Here is a 17,822-nt window from a genome sequence, read left to right as displayed (position 1 = left end):
CTGCTCAGAGATAGGCAACAAATACTGCGTGATTCCACTTATGTGAGGTCCCTAGAGGAGTCAAATTCACAGAGACAGAAAATAGAATGGTGGGTGCTAAGGGCTGTGGAGGAGAAGGGGAGTTAGTGTTTAATGCCTATAGAGTTTCAGTTTGGGAAGATAAAAAAGTCTGGAGATGAATGGTGGTGATGGTTGTACATGAAGGTACTAAATACCACCGTATTATATATTCAAAAACAGTTAAAATGGTAATTTTTTGTTATGTATATTGCACCACCAAAAAAATGAATGAATAAATAAATAATAGATAAACAGTGGTAGTAGTTACACGGTAGGAGCTACCACTTATGTAGGGCTTCTTGTGTGGCTTTTGGTTACCAACTCATTATGTGCATGAGAGACACAGTTAGGAGGCATTAGGAAGAGAAAGCAAGACCAATGGGAAATGTGGGTATTTGTTAGCTAGGGCTGCATAACAAATTACCACTGAGTGGTTATTTCCTCATGTTCTGGAGGCTGGTGAGTCCAAGATCAACATTCCAGCTGTGGTTCCTGATGAGGGCACTCTTTCCAGCTTTCAGGTGGCAGCCTTCTCAATGTGTCCTCATGTGGCAGAGGGAGAGCTCTGATGTCTCTTCTTATAAGGATGCCAATCCTATCAGGTTAAGCCCCACCCTTAGGACCATGTTTAACCTTAATTCTCTCCTTAAAGGCCCTATCTCCAAATGTAGTCACATTGGAAGCTAGACTTTCAACATATAAATAGAGAGGAGTGAACTTTTTCCTAACAGAAGGGAAAGATGGATTAGATATGGGTGGAGACAAAGACTGGCTCCACTTTATTGAGTCAGGGCTCAGAGAATACCTAGGCATTTGAGAAGCAGAAAAAATAAGGAGGGAAAGTGGTGTCTTGGGGGATGAGGGGGCAATTATAAGCTTTCTTTCCTATACTGAGTTTGAAATAAACCCAGGATAGGCAGTAAGACAACCCTGGAGCTTTGTATATATGCCAGGGCTGGACTTGAAAATGGGGAGCCGTAAATTCATGAGTTCACCCAACTTCGACTCTGTGCCTGAAGAGCAGCCCAGAAGCAAAACAAGAGAGCGAAGCTCATCAGGCTTAGAGTCAAGGGAAAGGAGGGTCACTGACTACCGCTGGGCAGGGATAAATCAGCAGAAGAACGTTGAAAAATGGGAAGGAAGCATTTAGAAAGGAGGGTGGGGAAGGAAGAGGGTGGCCCAGATGCTTTGAGCAAATATGTGAAGGCTGAAAAGAGACTGAGGCTGCACAACTTATGTAACTTACCTGAAAAATATATATAACACTAAATGGCGGAGTCTTAAAAAAAAATGTACTGGTCAGAGTTAAACAGGCAAGGAAGATTTTATCCAAGACTATTGCAACCTGGGAGAGAGATTGAACTCAATTCCACTGAAACAACAGGTAGGAGGGTTTTGAAGCTTTGGAATGAGCTAGGGGTAAAGTCCTAGAGGACACTGGGGGAAGGTGGGCTGATGTGATCAGGCTGTGTGTGTTTGCCAATCACCTCTCATCAACATCAGGCTCCCCTCCCTCAGGGACTGGGAGTCGGGGGCACCATCTTCCTGATGATCATGTTTTGAAGGAACCACTTCCAGGTCCTTGAGAAATACATTCCTGGGTTGTAGAAGGTTTCCATCTCAAAGGGCCAGAGAGAGACTTACAACCGCAATTTTTCTAAAGCAATGCTCTGAGCAAAGGGAGGTCAGGGGCCTCAAGTCAGGAAGAAGCCTGCCCAAGCATCAGCCAAGCTGATGGGAACATTCAGGCTATCCTGGCCAAGTCCTAGAATCATCTGAAGGATGAAGAAATGGAAGCTATGAGAGGAAGAAGGACCTGTTCAGCACAGAGCCAACTGTGCACCCCTGAGCACTTGTGGCTCTGTTTGCAGCGTCCTGGGGCACCAGCTCCTGAAGTCAGGAAGGAAGCAGCCAAGCAGCTCCAAGGCTGAGCAGTGGGCCCAAGGCACAGAGAAGAACCATGGGAGGGTTCTGGTCTTGTGCATCTGCACATTCAGCCCTGCAGCCACTGCACTAACTTCTCACCATCACAGTCTCCATTGTACAGATGAGGAAACAGGAAAACAGACAACTTTCCCAAGGCTCCCAGAGCTACAGCCATCTGCATTTTCCTCATCCCCTTGCTGTCCTTTCCCGGGACATCCCTCTTGCTTGGATCAACAAGGATGGCCCAGTAAGGAGCAGCCTTCATAACAAGCCCATATGAAGGCCTTGTGCTCACAGGAGAGTCTGTGTGTAGCTGTTCACATTTGGAAGACTTTGACGTTTGATCCCAACTCTTTTGCTCTCTTCCTTCTTATGCAATTAAAATCAATACCATAAAACCTCAATAGCACATAAGGAAGCAGGAAGCCCTCACCAGATGCTGAACCTGCCTGGTGTCTTGTTTTTGGACTTCCAGGCCCGAGTTCGTGGTATTTTGCTATAGCTGCCCAAATGAACCAAGACTGCCAGGGTCCTCTTGCCAGAGCCAGCAAGCACCTGGGTTTACAGGTGAGTGGGAAGAGAACCAAGAGGGCTGCCTGACGAATGTACCCTCTAGGTCCAGGGCTGTGGGCTCAAAGAGAAGGGAAGCAAGAACCAGGCTTCTCCCAGGCTGCCCTGTGGGATGGAAAGAGTCATGGCAGTTGCCCCTCAGGGCAGGGGGAAGGCGGATTGGGCAGCTCTGCCTTGTTTTGAGTCTCAGGCTCCAGGCATGGAGGGAAGAGGTCCCATTAGGGAGGAGCTGGGCTTGCTTTCCTCACGAGGGTGAGAGCAGGACTGCGTGGTGCCCCTCAGCAAGGGTGGCACTCGGCTTCCCTGCATCCAGAGTGCCATCAAGGCAGCCTCAATAGGTACTCCTGCCCCGAGGGCCTCAGGGTGAGGCTCTTCAGAGATGCTGGCAGGATCTGGGGGACATTGGGCTGCTTGGAATAGACAGGCTGCCTTCCACATCACAGAGATTTGAGTGGACAAGATGGCCAGGCTCCAGTCCAGTGCCAGACAGCATGCGGCTGAGAGGTGAACTGGCAGGCAAAAACACCGACGGATGGCGAGGGTGACCTGGAGCTGCCACTCAGAGCCCAGAATGCCCAGCAAGCCCTGTCCTGGAGGCTGTCATGCCCTGGAGGCAGGAGCAACCACTGGTCCCAGGACAAAGACTCCCTGCGAGTGCGGCCTGGATAGGACAGGTGGTAGGAAGGCCACCCAGCCCCATGGACCTCGCTTGGTCTGCTGCCTGCCTGTGCCCTGACACTCTGCGGGTTCTGGCTCCACCTCATCTCCCAGATGCCCACCATGTCCTGCTGAGCACACATCTGACCACTCAAACCTGCTCAAACCAACCATTGCTGCCAGAAGCCGCAATCTCTGAAGTAGAGTTGGTGGCTGCCTCCCCCACCAGTTCTGAGTTTTCATCGATTCATTCTATAAATGGGAATCCATGCCTTCTATGGCCCTTCTCCCATCACTGCCTTTTCAGTAGCTTTGGCCTCAAGCCAGCAGCTATTTAAAGTCTTCATGATGCTGAGACTTGCCTACATTAATATTCAAATGTTGTTGTAATTACCCCTGACATTTATTGAGTTGTGGCTGGGCCAACCACTTCATATGTAGACTTCATTCGATCTTCGGGACTGACCTATGATGTATACATGATGACGGGCCCCATCCCCTGTACTCATCCTCAGATGAGGAAGCCCAGCTCAGAGCAGGAAGAAGGGGTAGTCCCACAGCCACCTGCGAGAGGCAAAGGTGGGATGTGAACATGACACTCCAACTCCAGAGCCTGCCTCTGTTTAAAAAAAATCATCCAAGACTTGCAAATAAGCAAAAGGATGGCTTCCGACGCCACACGGGGCTACCGTCTAGCAGCCCACATATGCGAGAGTTTGTTCTTTAGGGAGGCTCCTTTCCTACTGCTCTTTCCTACTGATTCATTCCCAGACTCTGAAATTATTTGTCAAGCTGTGGATTTCTGCCTGGCAAAGATGCAAATGACTTCTACCTGGTGAAGAAGATAACCCCACAGGCGATGACTTCATTGCCCTGGAGGACAGCAACCAGCTTTGCCTTTAACGTAGCAACCTGATTTCAGCTCGCCTTCCTGGCTTATGGTGTAAGCACCTGTTCCTCAAATTCTCCTTTGAATGGGGTTCACCCTCCTGCCAGCTCCCTGTTCGTGAGGTAAGTTAATCTTTGAGGAGTGTTCATTCCATATTTAGAGGAGAGTCCTATTTTTAACTGTTCAGAGGGATGTTTTGATGGCTCTGAGCTCCAGCCCTGCTGGAAAGCCTGCCCCTCCTCAGAGGTATGGCTCCATAGCCCCTCCTCTTTAAGCTTTCTCAGTCCAGCTTTATCCTCTGACTGTTCTACCCAATGACACTCATCCTTAACTGCATCCCCACCTCGAAAAGGTGTGGAAAATAAAATGTCAGGACCCTCTAAATGTATTATGCCAAGGGAGAGGTTAAGCCCTAGAGACTGTGTTATGTAGCATGTTTGCAATTCTGCTTCTTAGATTATAAATGAGGAGAGATGAATTATCTTCCTCATTGCTCTTGTACCAGGCCTCCCCCTTCCAATCCAAGACTTTGCTATGGATTCACTGCCTCCTTTATTGCCCTGTACTCAACTCAGCCCAGATGGTGCTCAAGACCCCATAACCATTACATCTTCAGTGTAGAATGCTAAATATACCTTTTCTGAAAGAAAAAGACCACCTCAACTAATCAGATTGTTGTAACTATACATTTAACCTTATATAGAAAGATATTGAAATTCTGTTAGTCTTCCCTGAACTTTGTTTATGTATGCAATCCCAAACTTCTGCACTTCGGAACACTGACTTCCATTCTTTGGAATCTGTGTTTCCCGGGTGGCTCATCCTCAGCTCTGCAATTGAATGAACTCTCTTTAAACTAGATTCTGACCCTTTTGTTTACTTGAGGTTTACAGTGCCTATAGCATATGCGAAGCCTGGCTCACCCCCACCCCCAGCCAACAATGGCTTCCAATTAGGTGACTTTCACTCATCCTCTCTCCTGGAGTCCCTGAAACCCCAATGGAAGGTATACATATATATATACACATATATATATGTGTATATATATACACATATATATATGTATATATATATATAGTTTCATGCCTTTCATTTCTACCCATATGCAATCACAGGGACAGCACACCTCTCTCAGTTGTTGGATGGATGAACAGATGGATGGATGTTGAATGTTGAATGTTGAATGGATGAATGGATGTGTGGATTGATAAATGGATGAATGGTAGATAGATGGGTGTGATTGATGGATGAATGGATGGATGGATGGGTGTGTGGATGGATGGATGGATGGATGGATGGATGGATGGATGGATGGATGGATGGGTGTGTGGATGGATGGATGGGTGGATGGATGGGTGTGTGGATGGATGGATGGATGGATGGATGGATGGATGGATGGATGGATGGATGGATGATGGATGGATGGATGGATGATGGATGGATGGATGGATGGATGGATGGATGGATGTGTGGATGGATGGATGGATGGTTGGATGGATAGATGGATTATGATAGATCAGAAGACATGCTTGACAGTTCTAAAAAGCTGCAACTTAGCCTCTGAGTCCGTGAGTGACCTTGGGCAGACTATGTCTTCTCTCTGGGCCTCAGTTTCCTGATCTATTAACTGTGGGAGCAGACTGGCTGATTCCAGATGCTTCTCCCAGCTCTCCGCCTCTGATTGTATTATGTATGCTATAAATTGATTCACAGAGAAATCTTTGAACATCAAGACTCTCAATGACAGTAAGTTTAGAAAGAAAAAATATTAATGACGTGAAATTCAAAAACGAAACAAAAACTCTGCCATCACAATCAGAGTTCTGTTTGTCAGGAAGCTGCAGAAGCTGAAGCTAACAGGATGGAATCATCCACCTGCTCATTATTTATTCATGGGGTGAGCTCCAGCAGCAGGGGAAGCCTCCTCTCCACCAGTGTTGGCTGGGAGGGCCAGAAAACAGGGAAGTTTCAGGGCTGTTCAAGCAGAACTTGACCTTTCCACCTTCTCCTTCCCTGAAAGGAGGGGAGGTGGCCGGAGCTGGCTGGGCATCTGTGAGCAGTGGATAGGGGTGCTGGGTCAAAAACAACTGGCCGCCTGCCCCTACAGATGATTGAAGAGAGACGAGCTAAGAGGTTGGCATCTCCCCTCGGTTGGGTAATTTGACAGTTTTGACAGAGAAGGGAATTTTCCCTTTTCCTCAGCCTGGGAACTTGGCTTTCCAATACCTAGGTGGTGGCATCTATTCCCATTTCAATGCAGACTGATTTTCAGCTGCCAGGGACCCCTGCAGCTCTTTTCTATCGAATTTGCATTGCAATGATTGGAGACGGCAGGGGATTGGGAGCCAATTTTTTAGCTGTGAGCTTATCAATGCAGGAGTCTGCCCAAAGTTAACTTCATCTTGTCCCAGGAAAAGCACCCCCCTCCTACTCCATGCCCAATCTGACACCTACTTCAAAATAAAAAGAAGAAAAGTTAATAAAAATCAGAGGGTTCACTAGACTGAATACTTAACATCACTGCAGTGATAAAAAATGTGTAAGAATATCTCACAGAAGATGTACATGGAGCTCAGATTAAGAAATTCCATCCCTGAGAAACAGGCAGCTTTCTTCTTCAAAGCTCCTGTGTGTCAAAGTCTCTTAGAGAAAGAGAAGTGAGTGGGAGATGGAAACTGGGTTTTGAAGACTCTTCTAGGAAAACAGAAAAATGCTCTCTTAAGTGATAAGGAGTTTTCACAGAAACGGCAGCTTCCCGTTATCTGAAGTAACAGAAGGCCCTTGAAGGTCAGGAACGCAGAGTACTGGGCCCAAGTTCTCACTGAATCTTGGGTGAATACACAGGTACGACACAGTGAGGGACCAACCCATAGGGAGAGTGAGGCCTGCTCAGAGGTTGCCGGATGCAAACCCTACCAGGGTGTTCATTTGCTGATGAGACAATTCGGCTGGGTGGAGACACTGCCTGGATGTCAACTGAGACTCAGAACAAGAGGGAGATCAGTACATTCAATCCAAGAAAAGCAGCCAACTGTGGGGAGCCCGGCCATCCTGGCTCTGGCAGGTAACCACACAAAGCTATAGGCAGAGCTGTCCATGGAATCTGACTAACTCCTGATGGCCCAGCACTCCGTGCAAATGTGTAATACAGCAAGTGAGAGACAGCCTCAGAGACAGGCCAGGTCTAGGTTCTGGGTCAGCCAGCCTCCAGCCAGGTGACCTCGGACGTACTTGAACTTCTCCTCCCCGGTTTTCTCATCAGTTATCATGGGTTATTAGCTCTCTACCAGGAGTGCTGCTGGGATTAACCTCTAAAAATACGGATAAAGGTCGGGCTCAGTGGCTCATGCCTGTAATCCTGGCACTTTGGGAGGCCAAGGCGGGTGGATCACCTGAGGTCAGGAGTTTGAGACCAGCCTGGCCAACATGGTGAAACCTCATCTCCACTAAAAATATAAAAACCAGCCGAGTGTGGTGGTGCATGCCTGTAATTCCAGCTACTTGGGAGGCTGAGGCAGGGGAATTGCTTGAACCTGGGAGGAGGAGGTTACAGTGAGCTGAGACTGCGCCACTGCATTTCAGCCTGGGTGACAGAGCGAGACTCCATCTTAAATAAATAAATAAATAAATAGGCCAGGCGCGGTGGCTCTTGCCTGTAATCCCAGTACTTTGGGAGACTGAGGCAGGCAGATCACAAGGTCAGGGGATTAAGAACATCTTGGCCAACATGGTGAAACCCTGTCTCTACTAAAAATACAAAAATTAGCCAGGCATGGTGGTGCACACCTGAAATCCCAGCTAGTCTGGAGGCTGAGGCAGGAGAATCACTTGAACGCAGGAGACGGAGGTTGTGGTGAGCTGAGATCACGCCACTGCACTCCAGCCTGGGCGACCAGTGTGAAACTCCATCTCAAAAAAAAAATAATAAAAAAATAAATAAAATAAAATACACATAAAGCACGTAGAACACCTACCATGTTTGTGAAAGAAGAAGATGAGCCCCAGGTCACCTGCTTGCTCATGCCCTAAATCCAGGAGACACGAGCAGGCCATGGCAGGAGGGGCCCACAGGGTAGCTTCTGCCCTGAGAATGGAGCCACAGAAGGTCTGGAGGCTTGGGGGTCCAGGGCTCTCCAGGCCACTCTTGCACCTACTCACACTGACATGGAGGGGCCTGCTGTGAGGGGAACCCTAGCTAGTCTCAGAAGGGAGAAGAGGGGGCATGCACTGCCCCAGCTGCCTCCAGCAGCCACACCAAGCACAGAAGGCTGGTGATGCTCCACAGACGCGGCAAAGCTTGCAGGCCCAACCCAGACACACTCTTCCCAACTTCATACAATCTCAATCAAAACCTTATCAGACTATTTCTACAACCTGACAAAAGGATACTCAAATTTACCTGGAAAAATAAATTGCCAAGAACAGCCAATAGACACTGAAAAAAAAAAAAAAGTAGGGGTGGGGATAGAGAATAATGGAAAAGAGATTTCCATGTCAAATAAGAGGTTGTATTATTATTCAAAACAATTGTGGCAATGTAGTGGTGGGTGGGACAAGGATGCATACAGATAGGAATAAATCTCCCAGAACCAGATCTAAGTAAATGTAGAATTTCAAGGGAGGGAGATGGTTTATTTGATAAACAGCAAGGAAAATTTGATGCTTAAACATTTCGATAGAAACAAAAGCCAAGCCTTACTCATAGCGCACACCAAAATTACTAGAAGGTTAAAATTCTGATAGCAAAAATAAAATAAAATAAAATCATGAAACTTAAAATAGAACAAAGCATAGGACACTATCAACCTCATCTCAAAGGAAGCAAAGTCTTTAAGAGCAAAATAGAAAGAACAGCAAATATATTTGTAGGAAAAGGTTATATCTTAAACTGCATAAAGGTAAAAAAATAAATAAGTAAATTTTGCTAGAAAATTAACACTAACAGAATTCAGAGAAAAAACAAAAACAAAAAATTTCATCACAATATGTGACAATGTCTTTCATACATCAACTTCTCTTTAAAAAAACTACAAGAAAATAAAATAATAGCCCAAATTGAAAAATGGGCAAGGAGGATTAGCTGGTTATTCATCAAAGGAAAAGGAAAAAATACCAAAGAAAACGTGTAAAACAGTAGCTTCAAGAGTAATTGAATGCGTGCTACTTGGCACAATGAACTATTACATTTTTATTTTCTTAATAAGGATCACTTAGCTTAAACGAAGCTTCTAGAACAACCATGAGAGCAGCCTGTGAAGGAAGAACCAAAGGGCAGAGAAACAATCCTGCTGGAACGGAGCTGTTATTACCAGCCAGCCCTATTACCGTTTGACGATGGAACATACTTCATCCTAAATGAGTGTGCGATGCTTATCTGAAATCCAGATTTAACTGGGCACCCTTTATTTCATGTGGTAAGCCCACGCATGAGGCTTCTGCACGATATCCAACCAATGGGGCCCTCCTCTGTCTTCCGGGAAGGGGAGTGAAGCACTTCTGCAACCCAGCGTTCAGGGGAGCAAGACGCTTTGCAGCATCTGCCCGGACATCCCCTCCAGGCTCCTGGCATCCCATGCCTTCCCTATCAGGGCCCCGACCCCAGGGGTAGGAGACTCTTGAGGTTTGATACTCTTGTCTTCTCTCAGGTCCTCCCTTTCCACAACCACGTCGAGGGCCTGATCTCCAGCTGCTTCTACCGCAGAAGCGAGGGGTTCTTTAGAGAGGGCCCCTGACTCCCGTGTTGCCTTAATTGGTCATTGATCAACTTAAGTCTGTCATTTTCTCTCTTCTGAACACAGTTCTTTCACTTTCTATTTCTCTATTCTGGGAAAATGGCAGAGGTATGACACGAGCCAGTATAAACCTGCTTCCAACCTCTGTTCGCACAGGTGGAAGTTGTCACAACTGATAGCTCCCAAGCACTAGGGATGAAGGATTCCCCACCTCCCCCAGCAGTGGGACCTGCGTGGCCAGACAGCCAGAGAGGGAGACCAACTCCAGAACCCTGTCCTCAAAGTGTGCATCCTGGGAGGCAGCTTCTGCAAACTGAGGGCGATTTGTCAGCAAAGGGGAACACACATAGGCTGTTTGCAAACTTCCTAATCCCAGTAGCGTGGCGGGTGAGTGGACGGCCTGGCAAAAAGGTCTGTGCATCCATTACTGCATCTTCCACAGCTACCAGATGAACAGAGGTGAAGATGATCACGACGACAGTGACGGTGGCCCCATACATCATCATTAGTTACAGTCTTCGACGTCAGGCTTGATTTTTCTCAAGTGGGAAAGGGTGTCATGACACTGCTATGGCATAAACCTTTAGGTCCGCCCCACCCCTGGCCAGCCCCGCCAAATTCGTATGTTAAAATCCCAATCCCCAGTGTGATGGTATTAGGAAGTGACCTTTGGGAGATTATGAGGGTGTGAGAGTGGAGCCCTCATAAATGATATCAATGCCTTCATAAAAGAGGCCTGAGAGAGAGAGAGAGACCCTTCCCCCTCCCACCACATGAAGGCACAGTGGGAAGGCCCTGTCTGAACCAGGAGGCCTCACCAGACACTGCACTTGTGGTTGCCTTGACCTCGGACTTCTTGTCTCCAGAACTGGGGGAAATGCGTTTCTAGGGTACTTTGTTGCGGCAGCCCAAACAGACTAAGATGAAGATCCACTGAGGAGCCTCATGCATTTGTACCTTCACCTTCTGAGCATTCACAGAACAAACTCCAGATTCAATCCTTGGAACATCTTAGAAAACCTGGTGACAACCACCTGGTACCAAGGTCTTCCTCAATCATGCAGAAGTCAAGAGTTCCCCATGGTGCTGGATCCTTTTTGTTTTTTTAAATTTAATTTATTTTACTTCAAGTTCCGGGATACATGTGCAGAAGGTTCAGGCTTGTTACATAGGTACACATGTGCCACGGTGGTTTGCTGCACCTACCAACCCGTCATCGAGGTTTTAAGCCCTGCATGCATTAGGTATTTGTCCTAATGCTCTCCCTCCCCTTGCCCTGCAACCCCCAACAGGCCCTGGTGCGTGTTGCTCCCCTCCCTGTGTCCATGTGTTTTCATTGTTCAACTCCCACGTGTGAACGAGAACATGCGGTGTTTGGTTTTCTGTTCCTGTGTTAGTTTGCTGAGAATGATGGCTTCCAGCTTCATTCATGTCCCTGCAAAGGACATGGTCTCATTCTTTTCTGTGGATACCAGATACTTTTTGCAGATGCTCAACCCCTCCCCACCCTTCCAAGCTCTGCTCACATCCAAGGCAGAGGCTGGAAGCTGAAAACCACACTGCCCAGACCCTCTTGCTAGCAGGCTTTTGGAATTCGGCCAAGTCGATGCTCATGTGAGATTCTGAAAGCAGAAAGGAACACCATGATTTTCCTCTGGTGGAGGCAGACATGTGGCTAGAGGAGAAGCCTGGAATCTGCACAGATTCAGGACAAGCTTCTGTGAATCCCCTGCTAGGTGCTAAGGGGAGCCACAGTCACAGGTGCCAGCTTCACTGCAATGCCTGCACTCCGTGAACTGCCAGAAGTCCGCAGTTCCTCCTCCTGGACTTTAGCACCCAGTCCTGGAGATGGTTTGAAAAACAGCTGATTTCCAGAATTAAGCACTCTTCTCAAAAAACTTCAAGTTGTTTCTGTTTTTTCTTACTGGACCCTGACAGATACAACCCCCAACACTCCTCTCCATTCCCCCCAAAACAATAACGACATTTAAGATGGGTTATAAATTAAGAATCTTCGGCCAAACTAACGATGGGGATGCCAGTGATGTCTAAATAAGGTGGGTACATCCAAGGGCATCCAGCCCCAAGCCAGAAGGCAGCAATCATCCGTGAAAAATGGAACGTCCAACAAAGGGGGACATGGCCCTCCGTGTATTGGCTAGAGGATCACACCCTAGCGTGGTTTCTTGAAGAGGTCATCCCTTTTAGAATTTGAGGGGGGCTTGAAATTACTAATCATATCATCATATGTGTTACAAACAATCTAAGACGGTCACCACGGCTGCAGCCAGTTGATACCTTCTGACCGTGGCTACTTAGAATGACCCTGCACCGTGCAGGCCCACACCATCATGGAGGGGCTGGTGCACCGGGCACACCCTTGGAGCCCGTCACTGCCTCAACTTCAGCTCTGTGATGACACGTAAGTGCAAACCTTCCTGCCTGGTCAGACGCTCTCAAGCCTGAATGCTCCTGAGCTGTGTGCAGAGAAAGCAAGCCCTCAGCCAGCACGACTGTTATGGCTGGCTTGGAAGGCACACCAGGTCCCCAGAGGCACACCACTGTGACACTGTGGGATGTCACCCAGTGGCTGGGAGCCCAGGCATCCTCGGTGTCATTCCCAGGGCCTGGTGTGCCAACCACGGTGGGGACATGCTAGCCATGCCGGGCACAGGCCTGTCTGGCAAGCAGCAGTGTAGCCATGAAGCCGCTTCTGCTGTCCATGCCTAGAAGTGGCCTCCGTGTGTAAATGACCCCATGCAACTCCAAGGACAGGAACAAAGAGGGGCCAGAAGACGAAACAGATCCTCCACAATGAGAAAGCATCTTCTCCATCAGGCTCCATTACAGACTTGGACTCAACTGGCCAGGCAGCAGGAACTGCTTCACGCGGGGCACCCAACACCACCTGCCAGAGCCCCTAACTCTAGTGGTGGACAGAGGTGAGATCTGCAGACAGGGATGAAGCTGCTGTGTCGGCATCATGAGACCCCCCAATACTTTAAACCCCAGGTAATTGTAAGATATGTAGGGTGTGAGGCTCATGCCTGTAATCCCGGCACTTTGGGAGCCCAAGGTGGGCGCATCACCTGAGGGCAGGATTTCAAGACCAGCCTGGCCAACATGGTAAAACCATGTCTCTACTAAAAATACAAAAATTAGCTGGGCTTGGTGGCACGTGCCTGTAATCCCAGCTACTTGGGAGGCTGAGGCACGAGAATCTCTTGAACCCTGTGAACCCTGGAGGTGGAGGCTGCAGTGAGCCAACATCATGCCACTGCACTCCAGCCTGGGTGACAGAGTGAGACTCTGTCTCAAAAAAAAAAAAAAAAAGATGTGTAATATAAAAGTGTCCAGCGTTTAAAAAGAGCAGGACATTGCATCAGGTCATAGCTGAGACTGGGTGGTCTGAGGATGACACAGAGCAAAGGATTTAAGCAGGTGGCGGGTGCCGTGGGCTGTCCCTTGGGGTCTCTGTGGATAACCCACCCCCAGCACTAACCTGTGAGTCTCCAACACCCAGAAGCCAGTGGGATCCAGAGGCCATTATGTATTTAGACAGTAGCATCTGTGGAGTCCTTGCACGTGCCGGCTGTGTATCCTTGGAAAAGTCCTGGTGCCTTGCTGGACAGTGGAAGGGGTCTCAGAACATAATATTTGGACTATTGCTATAAGAGGCATATTGTACTTTCAGAACCTGTGGAAATAGGCCAGAGTGTTGTTCTTGGGTGCGGAGATGCCTAGGCTGCTACTCTAATGACCCAAGGACCATAAGCTCCCTTCCCCTGTCATAACCCTAATCAATGATGCCTGCAGCTCTTCATGTATTCCCTTCATATATACAAAGGGTGCGGCAGGAGACAGGGCCAATGTCCAACTCCTGGTGCAGCTGGACGTCTCTGGTCCATTTGTACTCGCCATTGTGATTGACTTGATGACTTTGCCTGCTTCCTAGATTATAAGATTCTCCTGACTGTTGGTTGGAACCATGCTTTGAATTTTTTTTTTGGAGACAGAGTTTCGCTCTTGTTGCCCAGACTGGAGTGCAATGGCGCCATCTCAGCTCACCGCAACTTCTGCCTCCCGGGTTCAAGCGATTCTCCTGCCTCAGCCTCCCGAGTAGCTGGGATTACAGGCATGTGCCACCACGCCCTACTAATTTTGTATTTTTAGTAGAGATGGGGTTTCCCCATGTTGCTCATGCTGGTCTCGAACTTCCAACCTCAGGTGATCTGCTGGCTTCAAACTCCCAAAGTGCTGGGATTACAGGCATGAGCCACCATGCCTGGCCATGCTTTGAAATTTATTTAGCGTACACCACCATTATCCAACACCATCAACACAACCATCACCACCACTATCATCAGAATCAGAATCATCAGAATCATTGTGATTTTTACCTTGAGTTTTTCTGCCTTCCAGCATTCTGTTTCCTTCCTATAAAGTCTGCCGTAGACAAATGACACCCTCACTGAGAACAGGAGTTTGTTGTAACCTGCACTCTTTCAGGCCACCAAGGTCAAAGCCCACTACTCCTACATTCTCCATGTCTAACCAGCCATCAGCCATGTTGCTGGCTTTTCTTTTATCCTTATCTCTGTGTTTCTCTTTCCTATGACTGCTGCCACATTTGTTTGTATTTGTTTTTGTCTTCTTTTTTTTTGAGATGAAGTTTTGCTCTTGTTGCCGAGGCTGGAGTGCAATGGCGTAATCTTGGCTCACCGCAACTTCTGCCTCCCAGGTTCGAGCGATTCTCCTGCCTCAGCCTCCCGAGTAGCTGGGACTACAGAAGCCTGTCACCACACCCGGCTAATTTTTTGTATTTTTAGTAGGGATAGGGATTCACCATGTTGGCCAGGCTGGTCTCAAACTCCAGACCTCAGGTGATCCACCCACCTCGGCCTCCCAAAGTGCTGGGATTGCAGGCATGAGCCACCGTGCCTGGCTTGTTTTTGTCTTTATGTGAACACTCTGTTCCACAAAGGATTTGAAGTCCGAGCCCAGGGTTTGATCAGCTCATGCCTTGATATTCCTGACCTTCTCTCCTCAGAGACACTGCTTGTTTTGCCACTGTCTGGGCCCTCCTATGTTCCTTCACCCTTGGGACCAAGAAAGGCAACATAAAAACTTCAATGGCTTCTGCTGTCTCTGGGAAGAAGGATCTGACCTATGAGAGTCCACATCATATCATTAGTTGTCCCTAACCTGCATTGCCAGCATAACGAACCTACTGCCCACCCACACCTGAGGACCTCAGAGCACACAGGACTGGGGCACATCCTGATATGGGTTGGCTGTGTCCCCACCCAAATCTCACCTTGAATTGTAATAATCCCTATGAGTCAAGGGTGGTCCCAGGTGGAGATAATTGAATCATGGGGCTGGTTTCCCCCACACTGTTCTCATGGTAGTGAATAAGTCTCAGGAGATCTGATGGTTTTATAAGTGGGAGTTCCCCCGCACACATTCCTTGCCTGCCACCATGTAAGACATGCCTTTGCTCCTCCTCTGCCTTCCACCATGGTTGTGAGGCCTCCCTAGCCATGTGGAACTGTGAGTCCCTTAAACCTCTTTTCTTTATAAATTACCCAGTTTCAGGTACGTCTTTATTAGCAGCATGAGAACAGACTAATATAGGTCCTAAGGAGATCAGCTACCCTCCCAGACCAGCTCCTCCAGGGCTGCTTTCTGCAGATACAGTTTATTTAGACACTGTTCCCTCTTCAAGCATGGCTTGGAACACTGCATCTTGCACACCGTGGGTACATGCCTTGGGGCATGCCTGACCAGATTTGGGTGCCAGTTGTACCATTTAAGAACTGGATGACTCCAGTGAAGTAATGAACCTTTCTATGCTAAAGTGTCATCATCTGGAAAATAAGACTCACCACAGAACTAACAACAACAAGTTTCAAAGGTTGTTGCACAGAAACCTCTGTTACTTCAAAAAGCTTTGACATATTTCTGCCATGAAATTAACATTTATTTGATCAATGGTACAGGAGTGGCCTTGGGTTTTGTTATCGTGAATTCCTAGACCACCACTGGCTGAATTATTCTCAGCCTCCCTCCAACCACCTGGAACAGGTGTTGTTTATTTTTCACATTGTGGCACTATTGACCCTAAACATTCTAAAGAATTCCCTGAGGGCAAGAAGCCATGCATTGCATGGCCTCTATTATCATTCCTCACAAAACCTCACACATACTAGGATGCATAAATATTAGGCCTCTAGTTCATCACCTATCATGGCGGTCCACCCTGGAGATGGCAGAGAGAACACCTGGGTGTATATTTTGGGATATCTGAGGGGGAGTATTCCTGATCAAGAGTCTTAGGAAATCATGTGGATGATTGGTGTTTTCTCCTGAACTTTATGGTCTCCATAGTTGATTACAAAAGAAAAACAAACTAATTAACCTTTTGAAAACATTCCTCTAATCAATGACATATTTTATGGTTTCATTAGCTATGGGCCCAAACTCAACAGGCAATCATATTTAATTCCTTGCATACCAATTTATAAAGGATAGTTTATGGCCGCCTGTTCACAAGCAGTGTAAAGTAGGATTCCCGCTGCAGGTTAATCCCTTTCTATATTGAAACAACATTAGGGCAGCCCAAGATATCACAGAGCCCTTGACGTCCTGTGATGAATGGGAGGTCTGCTTATGGCTTGGAATCTTTGGAGAGGGCTGCTTTCCCCTTCATCCTCTCCTGGGCAGTCACTGGAGTTTTATTAGTGGTGGCTGTCTTAAAGGTCCATTTGCTGTTGCTACAACAGAACACCTGAGACTGGGTAATCTACAAAGAAAAGAGGTTTATTGGGCTCATGGCTCTAAAGGCTGAAAGTTCAAGATCAGGCAGCTGCATCTGGTAAGTGCCTCGTCCTGTGTCATGACATGGCAGACAGCATCGCATGACAGAAATGCAAAAGGCAGCTTCGGTTTATAACATGGTAACTAATCATGGTAACTAATCCAGTTCTGCAAGAGCAAGAACTCACTCCCTTGAGAAAAGCATTCATTCCTCTTAATGACCTAATTTCCTCTTAAAGGCACCATCTCCCAACATCACCACACTGGGGCCACCAAACATGAGTTTTGGTGGGGCCAAACCATATTCAAGCCATAACAATGGCTTTTCTTGAGTTGTTGAACTTTCTCAGGCTGCCAGTGGAGACTTTCAATTAGGGAGTTGTTGACAGTCTCAGAAACACATTGCACATTTAAGCAGAGTTTTCATTGAGGATAAAGCACAAAGCTGGGGTGCATGTTACGATTCAACTCTTCTCACCCTCAGCACCCTCAACATCAGGTTTACCATCATCATTCCCACCATCTAAAGGCCACTGACTCTGCCCTAACTTTGCTACCATCCTATGGCTGTCATCCATCATCCCCACCACCTCAACTCCAGGAACAAAAGTGTTGTTTCCAGTTGTACTCTCATTTAGCCGCCTTTTGCCTCTCTGACCCCTCCTTCCATAAGAAAAGCAGAAGAGACCAGGCGAGGTGGCTCATGCCTGTAATCCCAGCACTTTAGGAGGCTGAGGCATGCAGATCACCTGAGGTCAGGAGTTTGAGACCAGCCTGGCCAAAATGGTGAAACCCTATCTCTACCAAAAATTAAAAAAAAAAAAATTAGCCAGGCATGGTGGTGGGTGCCTGTAATCCCAGATACTCAGGAGGCTGAGACAGGAGAATCACTTGAACCTGGGAAGCAGAGGTTGCAGTGAGCCGAGATCACACCATCGCACTCCAGCCTGGGAAACAGAGCAAGACTTCATCTCAAAAAAAAAAAAAAAAAAAAAAAAAAACAGAAAAAAGGAAAAGCAGAAGAGTAAAGTTACCTCCACTTTGGTTTTAAAATACTAGAACAGGAAGGAAATTTAGAGGGACAGAATTCCACGATATTAACCAGGATTTCCAATTGTTTCATTTCCCTTCAGATGGATCTTTCCCTGTGTTCAATCAGAGGCAGCCAA

General features: G+C 47.4%; 1 long non-coding RNA gene across 1 annotated transcript in view, besides 1 other annotated feature; it reads right to left on the bottom strand.

The window, feature by feature from the left end:
* Window positions 1–17,822, bottom strand: part of EPIC1 (epigenetically induced MYC interacting lncRNA 1) — a 223,927-nt gene that overhangs the window by 170,429 nt on the left and 35,676 nt on the right. The gene's annotated exons all lie outside the window — the stretch shown is intronic.
* Window positions 6,698–6,992: an enhancer, noted in NCBI's record as "tiled region #4711; K562 Activating DNase matched - State 5:Enh". NCBI's record gives its function as "activates a minimal TATA promoter and a strong SV40 promoter by Sharpr-MPRA in K562 cells {active_cell/tissue: K562}" and the evidence as "EXISTENCE:reporter gene assay evidence [ECO:0000049][PMID:27701403]".

Source organism: Homo sapiens, chromosome 22 (assembly GCF_000001405.40).
Source record: "Homo sapiens chromosome 22, GRCh38.p14 Primary Assembly".
In the NCBI taxonomy this organism is placed as follows: Eukaryota; Metazoa; Chordata; class Mammalia; order Primates; family Hominidae; genus Homo; species Homo sapiens.
This window is presented reverse-complemented; position numbering and strand designations above follow the sequence as displayed.